This window comes from Homo sapiens, chromosome 3 (genome assembly GCF_000001405.40).
Source record: "Homo sapiens chromosome 3, GRCh38.p14 Primary Assembly".
In the NCBI taxonomy this organism is placed as follows: domain Eukaryota; kingdom Metazoa; phylum Chordata; class Mammalia; order Primates; family Hominidae; genus Homo; species Homo sapiens.
The window spans coordinates 58,902,494-58,926,071 of record NC_000003.12 but is presented as its reverse complement, the minus strand read 5'-3'; the positions used below and the strand labels follow the sequence as shown (position 1 = coordinate 58,926,071).

The window sequence follows — 23,578 nt, the reverse complement described above, 5'->3', positions numbered from 1 at the left end:
TTAAATATCTTTTTTCTTTCCCTACTTACTCAGTCTAATATGGGTATTGAAGAAATCTGGAGAAAGGAGAACTGTCTTATGCCTTCTTATGCTGGTCCTGAATGGTTAAGTAGGCATAACTAATTCAAAATAAGTTTATTCTGGAAAACAGATGATTACCTAGCTTTAGTTTTAGGGTCACCCCATTTTTAAAATACTTAAATTGGCAGAATGCTGTTAAGATTAACATGTGACCTCTGGAGCTAGATTCTATGGGTTCAGATTCTGGTTCTGTCACTTCCTGACTATAGGCCCTTGAGCAAATCAGTTGATCTCTCTGATTTAGTTTCCTCAACAGTTAGACAGTGCAATAATAGAACTTGCTTAATAGACCAGTTGTTAGGATTGAGTAGCCTATGACTTAAAAACAGTGCCATACTCATAGTAAGTGCTCAGTCTGTTAGTTGATGTTGTTATTACTTTACTATTTTCTATTGACATGAATCCATGCTTATTAACTTGTAAATATGGTATCATCATAAACCTCTGAACTTACAGTTTATTTTAATTAGCAAATATTGATCGAGTTCCTGCTGTGGGCCAAGGTCTGTGCCAGATGATATGAACCCAAAGGTGAATGGAACATGGTCTTTCTCCTTGAGGAGATTATAATATGGCAGAAAAGGCAAACATGTAAATAATTATTGATAACGGGCTATGGTAAACACCAAACTAGTCTTATAAGTACTACTGGAGGAAAATATCAGACTTTCCTAGCCATGTTGGGGATGATTGTAAGTAAATTAATTTTCTCTTGGAGCAACATTTAAAAACTCTTTTTAGGAATGATAACAACATCTAGAAACTCAACAACACAGTAGTCACAATGTCCAGCATAGGATAAAAACAAAATTTCTAGATATACAAAGTGGGGAAACCCCATAACTAGCAGAAAAAAAAATCAGGGACTAGAAACAGACCCAGACATGACAAAGATAATAGGATGAGGAGACAAGGGCTTTAAAACAATTATTATAAATATATTAAAGGATTTAAAGAAAATATGTTCATAATGAGAAAACAAGGGGGGAACATAAATAGAGAAATAAAAACTATAAAAATAAAATTCACAATCTACAAAGATCTCAGATAACAAGAAAAAAACAAATAACCCCATTAAAAAGTGAGCTATGGGTGTGAACAGGCACTTCTCAAAAGAAGACAAACAGTGGCCAACAAAAATATGAAAAAAATCCTCCACATCAATAATCGTCAAAGAAATGCAAATTAAAACCACAGTGAAATACCATCACACATGAGTCAGAATAGCTATTATTAAAAAGTCAAAAAACAACAGATGTTGGTGAGGTTATGGAGAAATGAGAATGGTTATACACTGTTGGTAGGAATATAAATTAGCACAACCTCTATGGAAAACACTGTGGACATTTCTCAAAGAACTGAAAATAGAACTACCATTTGGCCCAGTAATCCCACTACTGGATGTCTACCCTAAGGAAAAGAAATCCTCATATCAAAAAGACATCTGCCCTAATATGTTTATTACAGAACTATTCACAATAGCAAAGACATGGAATCAACCTAAGTGTCCATCATCAGATGATTGGGTAAAGAAAATGTGGTATGTATACCATGAAATACTGCACAGCCATAAAAAAAGAATGAAATCATATATTTTGCAGCAACATGATGGAACTGAAGGCCATTATCCTAAACAAAATAACTCAGAAAATCAAATACCATGCATTCTTACTCATAAATGGGAGCTAAACAATGGATACACATGTACATATGGAGAGAAACAATAGACACTGGCTAGTCTAAAAGTCGGGGGAGGCTAGAAGCGGGGTAATGGTTGAAAAATTACCTATTGGTTGCAATGTTTACTATTTAGGTGATGGGCACACTAGAAGCCCAAACCTCACCATAAGCAATATATTCATGTAACAAATCTGGATGTGTACCCCTTAATCTATAATTTTAAAAAATTTTTTGCATTCTAGAACTGAAAAAAAATACGGTATCTGAAATAAAAGATTCACTGGATGGGTATAACACCAGGTTAAACACTGGAGAATGTCAGTAAAATTGAAATCAGGAATATAGAAACTATGCAAACTAAAGCACAGAGAGGGAGAAAAAACCTAAAACAAAATGAGCAGAGTCTGACTGAACTGTGAAACAGTATCACACAGTCTAGTATGTATGTGATTGCAGTACCAGAAGGCAAGCAGAGAGAGAGTAAGAGAAGAAAATTTATAGAAGTAATATTTGAAATTGTTTGAAATTTTAAAAATATACAGATTGAATAAGCTCAACAAATCATAAGCTGAGGAAATAATACAGGCACACACATACAAAAACAACACCATAGTATATCATAATCAAGTTGCTGAAAAAAGAGTGATAAAGAAAGAATCTTAAAAGCAGCCAGAGGTAAAAGATACATTATATGCCAGAAAACAGTAATAAGCTTGTTACCAACTTCCCATCATAAACTTCCTGTCATAAAATAAGAAGATAATGGAATGGTGTAGTTGGTGGGAGATTGGGGGATGTATTTGTCAATCTAGAATTCTTTAGCCAGTGAAGACATTCTTCAAAAATTGGGACAAAATAAAGACATTTTCAGACTAAAAAGCTGAGAGAATCCATTGCCAGTAAACTGATGCTACGAAAATATTAAAGGAAGTTGTCAAAACTGAAAAAAATTATATATACTACATGGAAATTTGGATCTAAATCAAAGAACAAAGAATGCCAGTAATGGTAAATATATAGCTAAATCTAAAAAGAAATCATTCATTATTACAATTCGTTTAAAAGTATTTGATTGTTTAAAGCAAAATTAGTAATGTATTTTGGGGCTGGGTGCAGTGGCTCACACCTGTAATCCCAGCACTATGGGAGGCTGAGGTGGGTGGATTACCTGAGCTCAGGAATTCAAGACTAACCTGGGCAGCATGGCGAAACCCCATCTCTACTAAAAATATAAAAATTAGCCAGGTGTGGTGGCACACACCTGTAGTCCCAGCTACTTGGGGGACTGAGATCGGAGAATGATGCATATATATATAATTTTATAACATGTAGAAGTAAAATATATGACAATGACACAAACAGTGGTGGAGATGGTAATATACTTTTATGAGCTTCTTGTCTATGACATATTCTAATATTATGTCATGGATAATATGACATAGCTAAATTGTGATAAGTTAAAGATCCACATTGCAAACCCTAATGAAACGATTGAAAAAAAAACAGAACAAAGAAGTATAACTATCTTCGCCCATTTGTGTTGCTATAAAGGAATATCTGAAGCTGGATAATTTATAAACAAAAAAGGTTTATTTGGCTTATGGTTCTTCAGGCTGTACAAGAAGTATGGCACTGGCATCTGAATCTGGGAAGAGCCTCGGACTGCATCCACTCTTGGTGGAAGGGGGAGAGGAGCTAGCCTGTGCACAGATAGTGAGAGTTGAAACAAGGGAGACAGAGAAAGAAAGAGGAGGCATTGTCAGACTCTTTTCATCAACCAGTTCTCATGAGAACTAAGAGTGAGAACTCATTCACTCCCGTGAGAATGGCACCAAGCCATTCATGAGGGATCTGCCTCCATGACCCAAACACCCCCACCAGGCCCCATCTCTAACATTGGGCACGAACTTTCAACATGAGACTTGGTGGGGCCAAATAAGCCATATCCAAACCGTAGCAATAACTAGTCAGCCAATTGAGGAGGTTAACGGAATGCTAAAAAATGTTTTCAATCCAAAAGATTGTAGGAATAGAGAACTGAACAAAGAACAGATGGGACAAATTGAAAACAAAGAGCAAGATGGTAGCCTTCAACTCAAACGTATCAAAGTCATTATATTAAGTGGAAATGGACTAAATGCTCCAATTAAAAGGCAGAGATTGTTAGGTTGAATTAAAAGCAAGGGACAATTGCATGCTATTTATAAAAAGTGCACATTAAATCTAAAGACACAGGTTACAAATAAAAAGATGAAAGTAAGATGATATACCATGCAAATACTAATCATAAAAAAGCTAGAGTACGTATACTAATAGCAGACAAATTAGACTTCAGGACAAGGAATATTATGTAATGAGAGATGTTTCACAATGATAAGGAGGTTAAATGATGAAGAAGATATAACAGTGCTAAATGTGCACACATCTAATAACAAAGCTTCAAAATGCAAGAAGCAAAAACTAACAAAACTAAACACAGAATGGTAAATATGCAAGTGTAGCTGGAAATTTCAAGACTCCTTCCTCAGAAATTGACAATCACTAAAGATATAGACTTGAAAAACACTACCAATCTGACCTATTTGACATTTGTAGAACACCTGACAAGTGCAGAATACACATAATTTTCAAGTGCACATTGGACATTCACCAAAATATATGATATGTTAGGCCATATTTAACAAATTTAAAAGATTGAAATCATACATAGGATGCCCTGTGCTATAAGGGAATTAAATTATGTATCAATAAAAAAGATAATTGGATAATCCCCAAGCACTTTGAAATAAAGTAACATACTTCTAAGTCATCTATATGTAAAAAAAAATTAGAATATTAGAAAACAGTATAGCTGATTTTAAATGATATTGAAAATAAAGCACACCAAAATGTGTGGGATGTATCTGAAGCAGTCACTGCCTAAAGGGAAATTTATAGCTTTTAATGATTACATTCAAAAAGAAAAAAGTCTTAAAATTAATTATATAAGCATCTAAGAAAGGTAGAAAAACAAGGAAATTAAACTGATGTGTACAGAAAGATAGAAGTAATTAAATAATAATTCAATGAAATAAAAAATGGGTGATGGAGAAATTAATGAAACCAAAAATTGGTTCTTTGAAATGATTAATAAAAGTGATAAATCACTAGCTAGACTAATCAAGAAAAAAAAGAACATACACATTGCCAATACCAAGAATGAAAGTGGGGAAAAAGGAAACTAAAGGAATATTATTAACAATTTTATGCCAGTGAATTTGACAACTTAGATAAGTGGGAAAATTCTTTTAAAGACACAAATTGCTAAAATTGATACTAGAAGAAATAGAAAATGTGGATAGCCTTATAACTATTTTTAGAAAGTGAATTTGAAAAACATTCCAAAAAATAAAATCCAGGTCCAGTTTGCTTTACAGATAATTCTTCTAAAATTTAAGGAAGTAATAATACCAACTTTAAACATTTTTCTCAAATAATAAATAAGGAGGAACATTTCCCAACTTATACATCAGGCCAGTGTAATTGATACAAAATCAGACAAAGATAGTAAAAGTTCTCAAAAGAGCTATAAATCAGTATCCCTCATGAACGTGGACATATGGCTCCTTAACACCATGATCCAGTGGCATTTATTCCAGGATTTCAAGGTTGGTCTTGATTTGAAAGTCAATGTAATTTTATCACATTAGCATAATAAAGGGGGAAAATCGTAAGATTATCTCAATAGATACAGAGAAATTATTTGAACAAATTTATGAGCACTTTATGATAAATATTTACATTAAACTAGGAATAGAAGGAAACTTCTTGAACTTGGTAAAGGGCCTTTGTGAAAAGCCTACAATTAAATCACACTTACGATAAAATATTGACTGCTTACTCCCTAAGATGGGAAACAAGGCAAGACTATCCACTATGGCTGGGCATGGTGGCTCATGCCTGTATTCCCAACACTTTAAGAGGTTGAGACAGGAGGATTGTTTGAGCCCAGGAGTTCGAGACCAGCCTGGACCACATATGGAGACCCCCATCTCTACAAATAATTTTTTAAAATTAGCCAGACATGTTGGCTTATGGCTGTGGTCCCAGCTGTTTGGGAAGCTGAAGTGGGAGGATCACCTGAGCCTGGGAAGCGGAGGCTGCAGTCAGCCTCCACTGGCAGTGATCATGTCACTACACTCCAGCCTGGGCTACAGAGCAAAGCCCTGTCTCAAAAAAAAAAAAAAAAAAAAAAAAAAGAATATCCACCCTAACCACTTGTATTCAGCATTGTATTAGAGGACTAGAGGACCCAGCCTATGCAGAAAGAGAATTAAAAAATTAAAAATAGACAGATTGGAAAGGAAAATGTAAAACTTTCTTTGCAAACAACGTCATCATTTATGTAAACAATTCTAAGGAATCTATAAAAACAAAACAACCTACTAGAGTAAATGAGTTTAGCAGAGTGACAGCATATAAGATAAGTCAATATACCAAAATCAGTTGTATTTCTATACACTAGCAATAAACAATTAAAAATTTCAGGGTTTAAAGATATTTACAATATCATTAAAACTCTGAATACTCATGAATAAATTCAACAATGTATATGTATATAGATGTTTACATTGAAAACTGTAGAACTGCTGAGAGAAATCGAAGAAGACCTACATAAATGGAGAGAGATACTGTGTTCATGGATTGCAAGACTATTTGTTTGTTAAGATGCCAGTGCTCTCTATATTGATCCGTAGATTCAATCTAATTCCAGTTGAAATCTCAGCAGGCTGTTTTTGCAGAAATTAGCAGACCAATTCTAAAATTTATATGGAAAGTCAAAAGACCTAGAATAGTCAAAACAATTTCCAAAAATTACTTATACCTCATGATTTCAAGGCTTGGTTTAAAGCATAAGTAATTAAGACACTGTGGTATTGGCACAGATACCAATAAACAACAGCTTTATTCATAATAGCCAAAACCTTGAAATAATCTAACTGTTCAAAACAGAAGAACGAGCAAATTGTGGTGTATTCACCAAGTGGAGTACTACTCAGCAAAATAAAAAAAAAACTACCAATATACACAACACTCATGAGCCTTAAATATTATGCTGAGTGAAAGACACCATTTACTGTGATTCCATTTATATAAAGTTATAGAACAAACACAAATCATCTAAGGTGAAAGAAATCAGTGGTTGCCCCTATGATGGGTGAGTTCTCAGATTATTTGGGAAGCTGCACAGGATCTGTCTGGGGCAATTAAAACATCCTATGTCTTGATGGGTGGTGGTATGCAGGAGTATGATGTGGTCAAAACTAATTGAATTCTATCCTTAACATCTGTGCATTTCATAGTATGAAAGCCAGAAAGATTTTGTGATTGACATTTATTGAGCACAAATGATGTCCCAGGTACTTTTATAAGTGTTTGCATGTACTTAAATATTTAATCCAAACAACTCTATGAGGAATGTACATTATTATCACCATTTTATAAATGAGGAAAAGGAGGCCCAGAGAGGTTCAGTAACTGGGAACATTATGTAACTAGTAAGTGGTGAGGCTAGTACCTAAATCCAGACAGTTTGGCTCCAGAGCCCAGACTCTTGCATCCCTGGGAAGAATATATTTCAAAGGAGTTGCCAGTATGGTTTAACTAGAGGCAGTTGCCAAACAGATTAAAAAAAAAAATAGACTGTGTGACTTGATAATTAAAATAACGTCCAGTTCAAAATTTTAAAAGTGAATGACTTCAGAATAATGAAGTTAAGTCTCAGAATGTAGCCCTATGAGTGGATTCAGAATAGAGGAGAGGCAGGTTTTTGAAGGAAAAAGAGTTAAAGGACCATTAGCATGTTGAACAGGATGTTAGAAGATGAGATGAACCTGGTTCCAGCTTTTTTCAGGAATGTGATTAGAGGATGGTGTGGATGCATCTGTAGGAGTGACAGGAATGACCAGGGAGTGATTGAATGAAGATTGATGAAGCTAAAAGGGTAGTAGAGCCTGTCTTTGCAATGCCTTGAACTTCAAAGATGATAGAATTCCAAGTCAGAAACGTACACCCTCTCCCACTGCCTCCCAGCCCCTTGGCCTCAATTAGAGGGCTGTAGAAGCACAAATGGACCCCATAAGTGAACTTCAACTCCAGAGTTGAAGGAGAAGTAATATCTCAGAAAAAAAGCTATGTTTCACTGACGGTAATGTGTCTAAGACTCTTAGAAAAATGCAGAGAATGTAAGTACTTTTCGTAAGTAAGAATTTTAGGGAGCATGGTGAAAGAGTGGCTTGAGTATGAAACTATGATTTCAGTAAGAGATAGTTTGCTCCATGTGGGTAGGAATTGGGAGGTACACATGGATTGCTGAACAGGTATTGTGACAATACTTCTGCAAGAAACTTGCCCTTTCTTGGTTCAGCCAAGAGCAAGGTCTGGCAGCTCTGGCAGCCCCAGCTTTCCTTCCTCTCCTCTCCTCTCTCCATAGAAGGACTTGTCATGATTTGCTTTTCCTAGGGAAATTGTTTTTAATACATTAGTAATAGGTAATTGCTTCTTCTAACCTTGTAAATATAGAATTACAATTTCAATCTCTGCTTATACCACTTATTAAACACAATATAGTAATAGGGATGAATAAGGTCATTGTAAGCTGATTTTCTATCGAGAAATTATAACTAAAGTGAAAAATTATTTTTAAAGACACAAGAATAAACATCATAAGACCCTGGTCTCTGTATACCATTATGGGAGTGAGAAAACAGAATGAGGTTCTAAAACTCTGGGAAGAGATGTACTTTAGGATTGCCAGGGTATGAAATTGTGGTTTCTTGTTTGTCATTTCCTTTTGGAAGGACAGCGCTGGCTAGAACTGTGCACTGTTAGTAAAACAGGCTTTTTCTGCACTAACAAATGTAACTAATTTCTTGAGATCTTTTCTATAGTAATGGCAGAGAATAGGAGCATAGGGAATCAAAAATATGCTCCCAAGGATTTATTATTTCATGCACCAGAACTTGTGGGGTGTGTGTGTGTGTGTTCACAGAATTTGCATTCCTTTCAACAGTATAATAAAGCCATATTCCAAACATGAGTTAGTAAAAACTAGAAATTCATGCTTTGAATCATTCTGTCACCCTTTGCCAGCCAACTCCTTTATGCTGGAAATAAATAGCATAAACTGACTTATTAATCCAAGCAACATACTAAATAGAACTGTCTTTTCTCTATCAGATTTCTGTCTTTCTGGTACATACTTCTTAAGGACCAATAATTATAGATATTTTAGATCAAGTTATTTCCTGCTGGATAGAGTTGTACATAGAAATATAGTAATTAGAGATCAAGAAAAATGTCAAAAAGGGACTTTTAAGAGTGAATATCATCAAGAATATTGAAAATAATATTTTATAAAGTTCAGCTGTAACTCAGATAATCCACCTGTTGGTAGTAGAGAGTTTATACACTTCTCCAATACTTCAGAAAATATATCACAGCATTTATATGAACAATGAGTTATTTGTTGAAGCATATGAGTATTGGAAGCTTTATCAATATCAGCTAAATCAAAAAATAATTTCTGTTTCCTCTAGCCAAGGGGGATTTGTGAAAGTTATTTCCATCTTTTTTAGAAACCACCCCCATCTGTTTTCCCAGGAAATTGATTCATTAAATAAAGTTATCAATTCCCAGCCATTTATTTCTTGAATGATTATTAAATGAAAGATTGAGTGTATGTGTGTAGGCATGTACACATATACTCAATGCCCACAGTCAGTGCACATACACACACATCTTAATGTGTTCATACACACACACACATATGCATACCCTTATTTGTTTAGTACATTCCATGAAGCATGAGTCCAGGTTGACAGAATAAAAGGAGCGTGACCATGATGGATAAGAAAAGTGTACAGTGGGTAAGGATCTGGTTTCTTAGGACTCAGAGTTTTTGAAGGAGGTTGGAACTGACTCCCAAGCAGAGCTGGTGGTGTAACCAGCTGGAGATGGTCTAAACAGGTAATAAAGGGGCAGGATCCTGAGAAGAAATCCCCAGCATGTCATGTCCATGCCATGCTGGGCCTGGAAAATGTATTTGTTGCTCAAAACCAAACTCAGATGTCACCTCCAAGTCTTTCCTAGATGGGAAGACTTAGAGTCAAAGAAAATAAAGCAGATAATATTAAAAAACAATGGTTAACTGCAAAAATGTTTTTAAAGTTGTATAAGGAAGGAAAAGGTAATCATAGAGAGCCACTTGGCTCAGATGTATACAGTATTTACATGGCCACAAGAAAGAAAACACAGAATATGGATGTTGAGGGAAAAAATGAGAGCAAATGAGAGAACAAATAATTATCCAGGGAGGATGAAGTAGGGGAAGCAGGGTATTAGCTAGCTAAGTCTTATCTACCATATTAGGAAGTCAGTAGATAGTGTCCAAAATTGATGAATCAAGAGGCATTACTTTAAAATACAGAGGGAAGAAACAGTTAAATGAGTTGACAGTATGATTAGATGAGGGGTAGGGTGACAAAGAACTGTATTTCGTATCAAACTTTTGGTGCTATCTGGCTTATATTTGCATATAATACCATAATACAATTTTTAAAATGTTTTTTTCAAATAAAGCTTTCCTAAGCCTCCCCACATACCCACCATGAGCCCCCTCAGTAGTAACTGTATTGGGTAGATACCACATGTCTGCCTTCCTTCCCAGACTGAAAGGACTCTCTTATTTATGTCTGTACCCCTGGAGCCAAGCCCAGAGTCTAACACATGATAGGTACTTAGTATGTGTGGGGAAGAATGGGTCACTGGAATTGCTGACTGATGAACCAGCTGAATGGTTGAGATTGGGGCATGATAAGAAGTCTTTTAGGACTAGGAACCACGTTTATACAACAATAATAATGCTAATATTATAATAAGGTTAATAATTATGATTGGATATCTAGAAACCCCAACACTTCCATCCCCTATAACCTGCATTTCACCAAGCCACAGTGTTCCACTCTGTGGCGTATCTACTGGATTTGTCCCTTACACTCTACTTCCTACATAAGCTTCCTAGCCAGCCCTCCTCACTTCGTGTTTAGATGACTGACAGGGACCAAACTAGTCTTTCTGTGCCTTGGTGCTCTCCATTCTGCCTCATTCCCCCGCCCAACCCCATCTCCCACCTCAAAATATTCCTGCATCATGGTTAGTCCGAACTTCTCAACACTCTGCTTTTGCACATTCTTTTGTAAAGAACCGCAGTGATGCTTTACCCTCTCCAGATGCTCTGAAACCTGGCCTCACTGGGCCATCTTACATTACTTCATTCCGCTCCAGTGTTCACCATTCTGCCAGTCAAGCCAATCACACTATTACTTGACTCTCAGTTTACCTGCTGCCTTTGCTGACACCAGGCTCCTCTCTCCACAAAGACCAGAGCGTTGCCACAGCCTGCAAATGTAATTTTACTGTTGAGACATCTACATAGAAAATACTCTTCATGTATTTAATAAATAATGTATTTCGGTCTCTTTTACTTTTTCTACTGTGGAAGCAACCTAAGGTTCACCTCCATATTAAAATCAGCATTCCTAGATATATAAGATTTGTCTTTAAAAAAAAGAAAAAAAATATATATATATATATTTATATATACAGGACCTTATGTAAACCTTGCTTCTAAACAAATAATGGAAGAGCCCAATATTTTAAAAGAAGCACATAAAACTTTAATACTACTTTTCATTTCAAAAATTATTTTTCTGGCTTTTGTCCTACAGTCTTAAATATGTCTTTGTTTCTTGCCAAATGATTTTTTTTCATTTTCTTTAACCATTCAGAAAATTCATTTGATGAAGTATTGAGGGGCCTAATTATTTAATGCGCAGAAATTAGTCCCTGCAAGAGTACTTTAAAAACTGGCAAATACCCAGCATAATTACAAATTCTTTAGAAGAATCTGTTTCCGTACAATAGGTTAATTGGTTATAAGTAGACAGCACTGACCATAATTTAAACCCAGCTTCTAATTTCATCCATGCCTTTTTCAACAAATACGAGTGGCTAATTGTGATCAAATTAGTCCCCTTGAAGGAACAATTGGCTACTTATCTCTGATTTTCAAGATGTCACTGGTCTAACACACCTGCAATTAGCTTCCTGCTGGCATACTGCCTACAGATAGAGAGTTATTTCCCAAAGTTGTCATAGTCTTGTCTCATGATGGGAATTCTGTAGTCAGATGACCAATGTGTAATTTAGAATTATGGTGATTTCTTTGGAAAGATCAAGTCAGTTTTTAAGCCAAAACAGAGATAAGTTTACCTAAAGAGGAAAATTAGTTTGGGGCTTGTTGATCAGGATAACTGCCTCAACTCTTTGAATGTCTACATATAGATGGTTTGTTCATTTATGTGTTGATGAAAGGTCCTTACTCTTCTTTGCATCTCTCTATTTTAGTGGTGCAATCTATGCATTGACTTAGTAGCATTCACCAGTGAAATATTCAAGGGGGCAGTTTTCCAGTCATTGGATGGAATTGTTGTCTCAGCTAACTGTAAGCTACGGAAGATCTTCACCTTAAAATCAAAGCCACAAGACACTGCTGATAAGGATGGTATGTTCAGGTTGCTATCAAGATTTTTTAATTCTCTGATGTATTTTTAAAATTAGCCATACCTTTGGGATAGTATGAGTGTGTGGTAGCAGTTTGATGTTATGTCTGCTAAAGTAAATTTGTCAACAGTCATGCTGATTTCTTTGTTCTAGATCAAATGTTTATTTTTACTATAGCTGAATGTCACAAAAAAGGTATTAATCTTCTTTTTGTGGTTGTTTTCTTTTTTCTTTATGGTAACACTTGCTATCTGTCTTAGGCTCCTTAGTTACAAACAACATAATCCTCTTTAGGTGGTTGAAAAAGAACAGGAATTTATTTAAGGAAATCAGACAGTTCATAGAATCTCAAGGATATTTAGAGAGTCAGCTGAGAGCCTATAGTCAAGAAGAATCCAGCCTCTCCCACAAGACTTATCTAAGGACAACCCCATCCATTTGCCACCTCCACCCACTGCCAGTAGCTACTGCAACTATACAGAGACTCCATAAGTCACATCATAATGCTGGGCTATAAGTTCCATAATTTCTGTTACAGCAGCCCCTGAAAGTAGGATGTTTTCTTCCCTGCCACCCTTATCAGAAGTAGATATATTTTTCTTCATGTTTGTCTCCACTGAAAACGTTTGGTGTGGCTGTTTCTGTCCTGTGGAGTCTAGGTTGCATGCTGCAAGGAAGGCAGGCAAAGCAATGTCTGATTCCTGACTAAGGAGGCAGGACTCATTGTGTGGGAAAGTCATCAAATTAGGAAGGGTGTGCAAAAGATGTTGGGCATTCAAAAATCTCTGTCCATTATGCTGTCTTATTACTCTGTGTACATTTCAGGAAGTCATTTGGGAGAAATCATATTAATTTTCTAGTGATCAAGTTAAAATGGAAAGAGTTGAGTTCTTCCTCATATTTCTAGAGAGACTAGAAATATTTACATTAATTGTTCATAATTTGATTTATAAATATACTCTGCAGGTAACTCAGCTCCCTGGAATTCATAAGGTAGCACACCATACTGCTCAGATGGTTTTAAACAACCAAAAGTATTGAAAGAATACTGATGCCTCCTTTTGATTTTCATCTGGGATTATTATTTGTTAAATCAATTCTTCTAGAAGTCCAGGAAGCAGGGCTGCATATAAGATGTCAAAGGTGATTACTTAGAAGTTTCTATCTAGACTTCAGATTTGTGCTCCATCTGGGTGTGTGCCTGAGAAATCTTGATGTGGCTCACTCTGTGGAACAGGACACTGTGCCTATAAATTTCATTTGATAATAAAGCACAGCAGTGTATTAACAGCTCTCCAAAGAGATCACACACCACAGTGTGGCTGCTCATCTTATGTACCCACTTACAGACTATACGAGAAAGTGAAAGATTTCATTTTTTTAAATGGCACCCAGCTAATAAGAAGCCTCAAAATTTATAGAAATATTTGTGCAGTGTACATCAGATCATAGGAGGTGAATCATAACCTGATTAATATTTTAAAATAAATGTAAAGAAAAAAGTGGATCAAACATAGCAAAGTAAATGCATGTTTCAATCTCTGATCCTTCCTCAAGCTCCACTGAAATTACTATATAGGAATAAAAAAGGCATAAATCCACCAGAATAAAGAATATGGGAGGGGAGACAATAACGGACAAGAGACGTTTGTAAATTTTATAAGATTAAGCAATGACTTAGAAGAGCAAAGAAAACTGAAACCTTTAGGTTTATAGAGAAGTTTGCCAAGGAGTTTCAGAGAGGCTCAAGAATTTGCAGCTTTACATACTGGCAAAGGCAGGCTAAGGATGAGGGCTGAAAACAGGGAGATTGGCCAAAATTCTGTACGGGTTGCTATAGGAGGACCCCAGGTTCCTGCTCTAACTCCATATAACCAAGCCACAGGAGATTTAGTCTCTGGAGAAACTGAATCAGAGAGCTTTTGAACATGGGTGCATCAGGCACTTGATAGACATCAAAATTAACAAGAAGGAAATAGATATGACAGGGAATATCCATGGTTTTTTTCAGAGTTAAGATACTGCATCTATAAAATAAGAATAATGTGTTTTTATTTTACTTCAATAAACATTTAATTGAGGTGTATTATAAGTGTTACTATATTATAGATTTTATATACATATAGAAACATGCAGAAATCATAAGTGTACAACTGGAGGTATTACCACAAAGTGAACACATTTCTGTAACCACCACCCAGATCAAGCATTACAAGCATCCTACAAGCCTGCTTATGTCTCCTCCCAATCATCACTTCCTTCCTTCTCCTAAGAGATAACCTCTATACTGACTTCTAACAGATTAATATTACCTATCTTTTACATTTATATAAATGGAATCACATAGTACATATTTCATGTATGCATTCTTGTACTAAACATTCTTTGTGAGATTCATTTATGTTGTGGCACATAACAGTAATTTTCTGATTTCCAGTACTGTATAGTATGCTATTGAATGGATATACCTGATTTTATTTATCTGTTTTCAGCTGTTATGAATAATGGTGCTAGAAGCATTCTTCTTTACTTCTCTTGGGGCATTCATGTAGGCATTTATCTCAGAGCAGAATGAATGCATACTTCAGCATTCTTAATTTCAGTTACTATATTTTTTGATTCTAGAATTTGCATTTGGTTCTTTTTTATAGTTTCCATTCATAAGATGGAGTTCTACATCTTGTTAACACATTTCTCAAATATGTTAATCAAACTTATTTTAAAGCATTTAGCTCACAACTCCAATATTTGGATCTATATGTAGGCCTAGTTCTATTATCTGTTTATTTTTCCCTTGGTCTTGTCTCTTGGTATGCCTGATAAGTTTTGAGTTAATGATGGACATTGGGTATCAAAACTTAGGAAATATTTTGAGGCTCTAGGTGGTGTTTTCTTCCTCTGAAGATATAAAACCAAAAAATAAGAGAAATAAGTGCAAAAGACTAAAAATAGGATGGAAATGCTACCAATATTAGGTATTAGTCCACGGAGTTCACCATCAGAGTAAAAGGATTCCAGAAAGAGAGACTAGAAGAAACAGAAATATAAGATTTCCCAAAATTCAAGGACAGATATTTTCAGATTGAGATAGCTCATCACATGCCAGAACAACTAATGAAAAAGACTTAGCACTGTGAAATTTTAGAACAGGAAAGATAAAGAGAAGATCCTTTAAACTTCCACAATTTAAAAAAATACAATTTATGTACAAAGGATTGGGAATAAGAATGATATCTAACTTCTTAATAGCAATGTTAGATGATAGAAGACCTTGAAACTACCTTTAAAAGTCTAAGGAAAAATTATTATCAACCTAAAGTTCTATATGCATCCAATCTATCAATCAAATGATGCAGAATGAAGATACAAGGCCTCAAAAATTTATTTACATCGTTTCTCAGAAAATATCTCGAAGATATTCTCCACAAAAATGAGTGAGTGGGTGAAGAAAAAGAAGTATATAGGATTCAAGAAACAGAAAATTTCATCCAGGAGAAAAGCAAAGAGAGAAGCTGCTCCAAAAAAGTAAAGTCTTAATAGCAAATACATGGAATCAACCCAAATGCCCATCAGTGATAGACTGAATAAAGAAAATGTGGTACAGATACACCAGGGAATAATACTATGCAGCCATAAAAGGAATGAGATCATGTCCTTTGCAGGGACGTGGATGAAGTTGGAAGCCATCATCCTCAGCTAACTAGCACAGGAATAGAAAACCAAACACTGCATGTTCTCACTCATAAGTGGGAGCTGAGCAATGAAAACATATGGACACAGGGAGGGGAACAACACACACTGGGGCCTGTTGGGGAGTAGGGAACAAGAGGAGGGAGAACTTCAGGCAAAATAGCTAATGTATGCTGGGCTTAATACTTAGATGATGAGTTGATAGATGCAACCAACCACCATGGCACATGTTTACCTATGTAACAAACCTGCACATCCTGCCCATGTACCCCAGAACTTAAAATTAAATTAAACTTAATTTAATTTAAAACAAGAAAGTTAAGTCTTTAAGAAAAGAAAGCAAAAGGATTTCTAGAATTAAGCACAAAAGAATTCAAAGGATGACTCTTGGACAGCACATCTATAGGCAGACTGTCCAGAGTTTAGCAGAAAAATGGAAACTTTCAGGAGAAAAGTTTCCAGGAAAAAAATGTATCTGATAGAGTATGATGTGTTTGAACATGAAGAATAAAATTGATTGTGGTGTTGTAGTGCTAATGGAGGATTTAGAAAGAATTAATGTTAGAAGTGTAGAAAACCTACAACAAAACAAAGCAATAATCAACATCAAGAAAAACAAAAAGTTGTACAAGAGAAGAAATATCGTAATATATCATGTAGCTCAGATATGCACAACTTTTTTTTTAAGTAGACTTTATTTTTTTAGCAGTTTTAGGCTCATAGTAAAATGAAGCGGACAGTATAGAGTTTTCATCATGTCCTTTGTCCCCACATGCATGTAGCCTTCCCCACTGTGAACATGCATAACAGAATGGTACATATGTTACAATCGATGAACTTACACTGAGACATCATTATCATCCAAAGTCTATAGTTTACATTAGAATTCATTCTTGGTACTATACGCTCTTTGGGTTCTTGCAAATAGGTAAAGACCTGTGTCTAGCTAGTACTATAGTATCACACAGAATAGGTTCACTGCCCTAAAGGTCTTCTGTGCTCCAGCTATTTCTTTCTTTCTTCCCCTAACCCCTGGCAACCACTCATTTTTTTAAATTGTCTTCCTAATTTTCCTTCTCCAGAATGTCATAGTTAAAAGTATATAGTATGTAGCCTTTTCAGATTGGCTTCTTTCACTTAGTAATACGCATTTAAGGTCCCTCCATATCTGTTAATGCCGTCATAGCTCAATTCTTTTTAACACCGGATAATATTCCATTGTATACATGTACCACAGTTTATTCATCCATTCACCTATTGAAAGACATCTTCATTGCTTCCAGGCTTTTGCAATTATGAATAAAACTGTTATAAACATTTTTGTGTGGGGTTTTTTTGTGGATACACTTTTCAACTCATTTGGATATACCAAGGATTGTGGTTGCTGGACTGTATGGTAACAGCATGTTTAGTTTTGTAAGAAACTTGCAAACTGTCTTCCAAAGTGGCTGTACCATATTTCATTTCCCCCAGCAGTGAATACGAGTTCCTATTACTCCACATTCTCACCGGCATTTGGTGTTGTCACTGTTTTGGATATTTCACCGTTCTAATATGTGTGTAGTATAAACTTTTTAGTATGATCTTAGTAATGTAAAACACTGAATAAGAATTTATCCAAAAATTATGAAAAATCATATTAGAAGGATGAGAGAAGGGAAGGAAAACGGGGTGGTGGCTTAAGAATGGTGAATCCTCTTTCTTTCAAAATAGGAAGTCAGAGATATTATCCAAAACTGAAAAGTGAAAAAATATTAGTATAAAGCTACTATGTATAATTATGGAAATAAACACTAGAAGATGTAGAAGATATAACTGAAAGGCTTGAAAATACTTGCCTCTGCATTGCAAGACTTTGGGATAAGGGAGGTGGAAGGGCAGCCTTAGGTGAAAGGGTAACAGTGATTTTTTTCTTATAATTTTGTAGTACCACTGGAGCTTTTAAATAATATAGATGTATTATTTTGTTTAAAAATTAATTTTATTAAAAATGAATGGATTATCCGTAAGGGAGTCTAAGAACGAGCATTGGTGTGATTTCTTTCAGGTATTTGGAAGGCCTGAAAAGAAACCTTATGAATGTAGCCTCTCAGATGGCCTGAAATGTTCTGAATAGACACGGGGAAGCACACTATGGTTCAAGGTGCTGTGGTGTATAACCCCGTATTCCTTTCATCTTAGCTGCCAGTACTTCGCCTTGTACGCACCCTATCTTTATGCTTCAGCTTCCTTATCAGTAAAATGAGGATAATACTTATGCCTTGATTAGGTAAAATGCTATTATCATATTTCCAGTGCAAACACAAAGTGTGTAAACCAAGTACATCTTAGAAAAGTTAAGTTGGTATTGTAGCGCCTAAGACATGGAGTAATGTTCCCACACAGTACATTGCTGTGATCCTGCACCAACTTTGTGGGTTTGTATGAGTTCTGAACATCTCTGAGCTTTGCTTTCTCATTGATTGCTATAAGGTTATTGTAGAGATCCAATCAAATACAAAAATAGATGTGCATAAATGATAATGCAGTGTGCAGATGTTAAACATTTATCTGTCTTCTGTTCACCAGACCCCGGGATGATGCAGCCCCTGCTTCCCTGCTCAGGGTCTGGCAAGAAACCTTACATGTAATAGTGTATTAAATCCCAATGGTAACTTCACTAATGAGCTTACTTAGCAGTAAGAGGAGAGTCTGGAGCACTTGCCCCTTACTTGAGAGAGCCATTTGGTGAGGTTCTTGGATTTCACAGACCTGTCAGGTTAAGAAAAATTTGACTACCATAGGTTGCCGACATATAAATTTGTCAAATCAGAAGATTAAAACACACAAACAAGAAAAACTTCAGTTATTCTGATTGTTTCATTAAATGAAAGGACATTTACACAGACACACACACATACATACACACACACACACACACACACGAGGCACAAAGTAGGAAGGTCTTAATTTAGGAATGGAGGCTGACATTTTCACCATAGACTAGTGAAAATGACTTCCTGGATCAGTATCTGTCCATAGCCACTGTTTAGGAGATACTGACCTAAGAAGTTTACTTTCCAGACTGCATCTTGTTTTTTGCTTTTGTTTTTGAGAGGATCTCACTCCGTTGCCCAGGCTGTAGTGCAGTGGCGTGATCACAGCTCACTGCAGCCTCAGCCTCCATGGGCTCAAGCTATCCTCCTGCCTCAGCCTCCTGATGAGCTGGGACTACAGGTGTGTACCACCTGCCTAGCTAATTTTTTTCTATTTTGAGTAGAGGCAGGGCATCACTATGTTCCCTAGGCTGGTCTTGAACTCCTAGACTCAAGTGATCCCACCTTGGCCTCCCAAAGTGCTGGGATTACAGTTGTGAGCCACTGCACCTAGCCCTGTACTGCATCTTGAAGGAAAAGTATTAATAATTATTTTCCCAACAATGAAAATAGGACAATGAGTAGAAAAAGCATTTCAGGCAGAGGAAAGGGCATATATGTATAAAGCCATGGCATCATGAAAGGATCTCATATGCTCAAGGAACAAGTTCAGTATGGTGGCAGGGTAGAAGGTATAATACAATATTGCCACACTAGGCTGCATATTTGGGTTGACATAAAGATGTAGAGCTCAGTTCCTGTCCTGTGAGTTCTGTGTGTAATTATAGACGTTAGAAAAGTTAATACAAGAGTTCATTATGAAGACAATTACACATAAAAGGACAAAGGATAACATAGTATAGGACAAATTGAGTGTCCTTGGTCAAGGAGGTGGGCAGTAGAAGTGATGCAATGATTGTGATAATAATGACGGTAGTGGGGATGGTGATGATGATTGTGGTGCTGATTACAGCATTACTTCTTGATGTGACCTAGGCAGAGTTCTAAACACTTATAGATATGAACTTACCTAGTGTTCATAACAACTCTGTGAGATGGATGTTGCCATTATCACCATTTTATATGTAGGAAAACTGAGGCATGGAGAGGTCAAGTAAGGTGCACAATGTCACACTATTCTTCAGTAGTACAGCCAGGACTTGAACCTTGCAGTAGGGTTCCAGAGCTTATATTCCTAATTATTTCAGTTTGCTGCTTCTCATGTGCTGGTAGAAGAGAGACAGATTTAAAAAGGAAAGATACAAGAGATGCCATGGAGTAAGAATGCCAAGATTTGGTGACTGGCTGTGTTGAGGGTATCTATATTGCAATAAGTAACAGATATCTTTTGTCTTTATTCTGCAAAGACTGATGAGGCTGTGTTGAGAACTTTTTCATAGGAAGCTTTTTAACCTATTTCTTAAATTCCACACTGGGATTTGATTTAAAAATTTTGAATTAAGTGCTTACTTGAGCTCAGTACTTTATTGTCCTTGGATTACTTAAACTGCTATCATTTCAGTCTAGAACTTCTTAAACTCACCCAAGCTAGGAGATTTTGCCTGATTCCTCTCTATTCTCTCTTTACACAGTGGGATATAATAGAAAGTGAATTTTTTGGAATCTTGCATCAAGCAATTAATCAGTTTTCACTTTTCCAGAAGAATGACTTTTGCTGGACAAGTAGTAAAGCGTACTGATTCAATTTACTTTATTACTTTTATGGCTCCTGAGGAGACATGAGCTGGCATTTTTAGGCATTTCTATGACTGAATTATTGATTAACTCATATCATTCTGTGTTTAAGATAAAAACCAGAATGCATATTTAGATAGATAAGAGAAAGAGGAGAAAAACAAGGGGAGTAGAACAAGCAATGATAATATCTGTGTAGATTGTTAAGTAAAAGGAAGACAGAGGAGAGAAATGAGAAGAGAGAAGATCAAATGATGATCCATGAAGCAAGATATGATACACCAGTGATGATGATACAGGTCTCCTTACTCCCCAGTTCAGGTCTCTTTCTCAAATATTCTGTGCTCTGTGTTCTGTGTATTCTGTGTTCAGAAATGTGAGAAAAGAAAAATTAAGGTATGATTTCAGACTAAGAGGCCCTGGAAGGCATAGACCCTGTATTTTCATGTTTTTGTCTCTAGCAAATGACCTGGCACTGGTAACTTATCATAAGTGTTTGATTAATTAATGAATTAAAGATTGGCTATTTATTTAACTATTCATCCATTCACTGTCTCCGTTCAATAAACCTTTATAGAGTGTCAAGCAATGTGAAGAAAATTTATTCCTTCAGAAGCCACGGAGAATCTAGAAACACTGACATCTAGCCTTAATAGACTCACTGAACAGGGAGGGACCTTAGAGATGCTCTAATCCAATGTCTTAATTAGACAAATAAGGAAAAGAAAGCCCATGGAAGTGAGGCATTTTGTGCTGCAGTCACACAAGATGGAATTCAAGACCTCAACAGTGCACAAGTTTACCTCCACCAATAATCAGAATGATTTTGTGGTTTTAGTATTTATTATTAGTTGTAATAATATTTGGTATTCTTATGTTGGGTGTTTCCTCACCTCTATTTTCATCTCCAAATCAGGTGAATGCACATCATACCCAAATCTCATTAGTTTAAGGCTCTATTTCTATACCTTCCTGTAGTGGAGATGAACTCAAAATGCCCTTTCCTAGCAAATCTCCTCAGGACAAGATAGGGGGTATGGTCTTAGTATAACAGAGGTGCCCAGCAGCCAATAGTAGAACCACCAAAAATGGGTCATGAATATCTGTATATCAAGACTCACAATTATTCTGATTCAAATATCTATTATATTTTAAAATTAAACATTTATAAAATATTATTTATAATAGAACCTCATCTCTCAGAAACTCTAAAAATAACAATTCCATTTACAATAGCATCCAAAATAGTTAACTACCTAGGAATAAATGTAATGAAGAAGAAGAAAGTACACTGAAAACTACAAAACGTTCCTGCAAGAAATTAAAGAAGACCTAAATAAATGGAAAGACATCTCACATGCATGGATTAGAAGATTTAATATTGTTGAGATACAGATTCAATGCAATTTCTCCAAAAATTCCAATGGGCTTTTTTGCAGAAATGGAAAAGTTGATCTGAAATTCCTGTGGAATAGCAAGGGGACCCAAATAGCCAAAACAGTCTTGAAAATGAAGATCAAAGTTGAAGGATTCACACTTCCCAATTTCAAAACTTACTGCGAAGCTACAGTAACCAAAACAATTTGGCTTTGGAATAAGGATTGACATATAGACCAACTGAATAGAATTGGGTCGAGAAACAAACTGATATGGTTTGGCTGTGTCCCCACCCAAATCTCATCTTGAGTTGTAGTTCTCGTAATCCCCATGTGTTGTGGTGGGAGAGACCCGGTGAGAGGTAATTGAATCATGGCTGCAGTTACCCTCATGCTCTTCTTGTGATAGTAAGCTCTCATGAGATCTGATTGTTTTATAAGAGGCTTTCCCCTCTTTGCTCAGCACTTCTCTCTCCTGCTGCTTTATGAAGAAGAACATGTTTGCTTCCCCTTCCACCATGATTGTAAGTTTCCTGAGGCCTTGTCAGCCATGCAGAACTGTGAGTCAATTAAACCTCTTTCCTTTATAAATTACCCAGTCTTGGATATTTCTTCATAGCAGCCTGAGAAGGAACTAATACACAAACCATACATTTGATTTCAAAAAGGGCTATAAGACCATTTAATAGAAGGAGAATAGTCTCTTCAACAGATGATTCTGTATATCCACATGCAAAAAAATGAGGTGGACTCCTACCACATATCGTATACAAAAATTAACTAAAAATGTTTCCTTGACCTAAATATAAGAGCTGAAACTGTAAAACTCTTAGAGAAAAAAAGGTAAATCTTCATGACCTTGCATTGTCAATAGTATTAGATATGATACCAAAAGCACAGCAACAAAGTTTTTAAAAATAGATAAATTGTACTTCATCAAAATGTAAAACTTTTGTGTATCAAAGAACACCATCAAGAAAGTGAAGAGAAAACCTACAGCATGTGAGAAAATATTTGCAAATCATATATCTGATACGATATGTATCCTGGTTTATATATGAATATATAGAGAGAAAACATTCTAGTATATTCTAGTACCCGGAATATAGTCAGCCCACCCTCCATATCTGCAGCTTCCCCATTCACAGATTTTCAACCAAGTGCAGATGAAAAATATTCAGGGGAAAAAAATTAAAAAAACAATATAACAATAAAAGTAATACAAATAAACAGTGTGTATAACTATTTCCTAGCATTTTCATTGTATTAGGTATTGTAGGTAATATAGAGATGATTTAAGGTATACTGGAAGATGTGCATAGGTTATATGTAAATACTGTGCTGTTTTACATAAGGGACTTGAGCATCTGCAGATTTTGGTATCTGTGTAGAGTCCTAGGAACCAATCCCTTGTGGATACCAAGGGATGACTGTATAAAGAACTCTTAAAACTCAACAACAAAAAGACAAACAACTCAATTTAAAAATAATCAAAGGACTTGAATAGACATTTCTTCAAATAAGATATCCAAATGGTAGACAAACACGTGAAAAAATGTTCAATATCATTAGCCATTAGGGAAATGCAAGTTAAAATCA

The 23,578-nt window shown here is 35.8% G+C and overlaps 1 protein-coding gene and 1 long non-coding RNA gene across 30 annotated transcripts in view; one reads left to right on the top strand and one right to left on the bottom strand.

The window, feature by feature from the left end:
- CFAP20DC (CFAP20 domain containing) overlaps positions 1 to 23,578 on the top strand; it is a 333,853-nt gene that overhangs the window by 123,954 nt on the left and 186,321 nt on the right. For 22 of the 29 annotated variants that reach the window (XR_001740051.3, XR_007095648.1, XR_001740054.3 and 19 more), the window contains one exon: positions 12,208 to 12,364. The exons of 3 other annotated variants lie outside the window; for them this stretch is intronic. Coding sequence is in view for 15 of the 26 variants with exons in the window: in NM_198463.4 (NP_940865.1) it covers positions 12,208 to 12,364 (157 nt within the window). In the remaining 11 variants the exon portion in view is untranslated. Of the gene's footprint in view, positions 1 to 12,207; positions 12,503 to 23,578 lie in introns of those variants that run through there. 4 more of the 29 variants (NR_147235.2, NM_001351534.2, NM_001351532.2 and 1 more) reach the window with 3 other exon arrangements.
- CFAP20DC-AS1 (CFAP20DC antisense RNA 1) overlaps positions 1 to 23,578 on the bottom strand; it is a 194,623-nt gene that overhangs the window by 93,022 nt on the left and 78,023 nt on the right. The gene's annotated exons all lie outside the window — the stretch shown is intronic.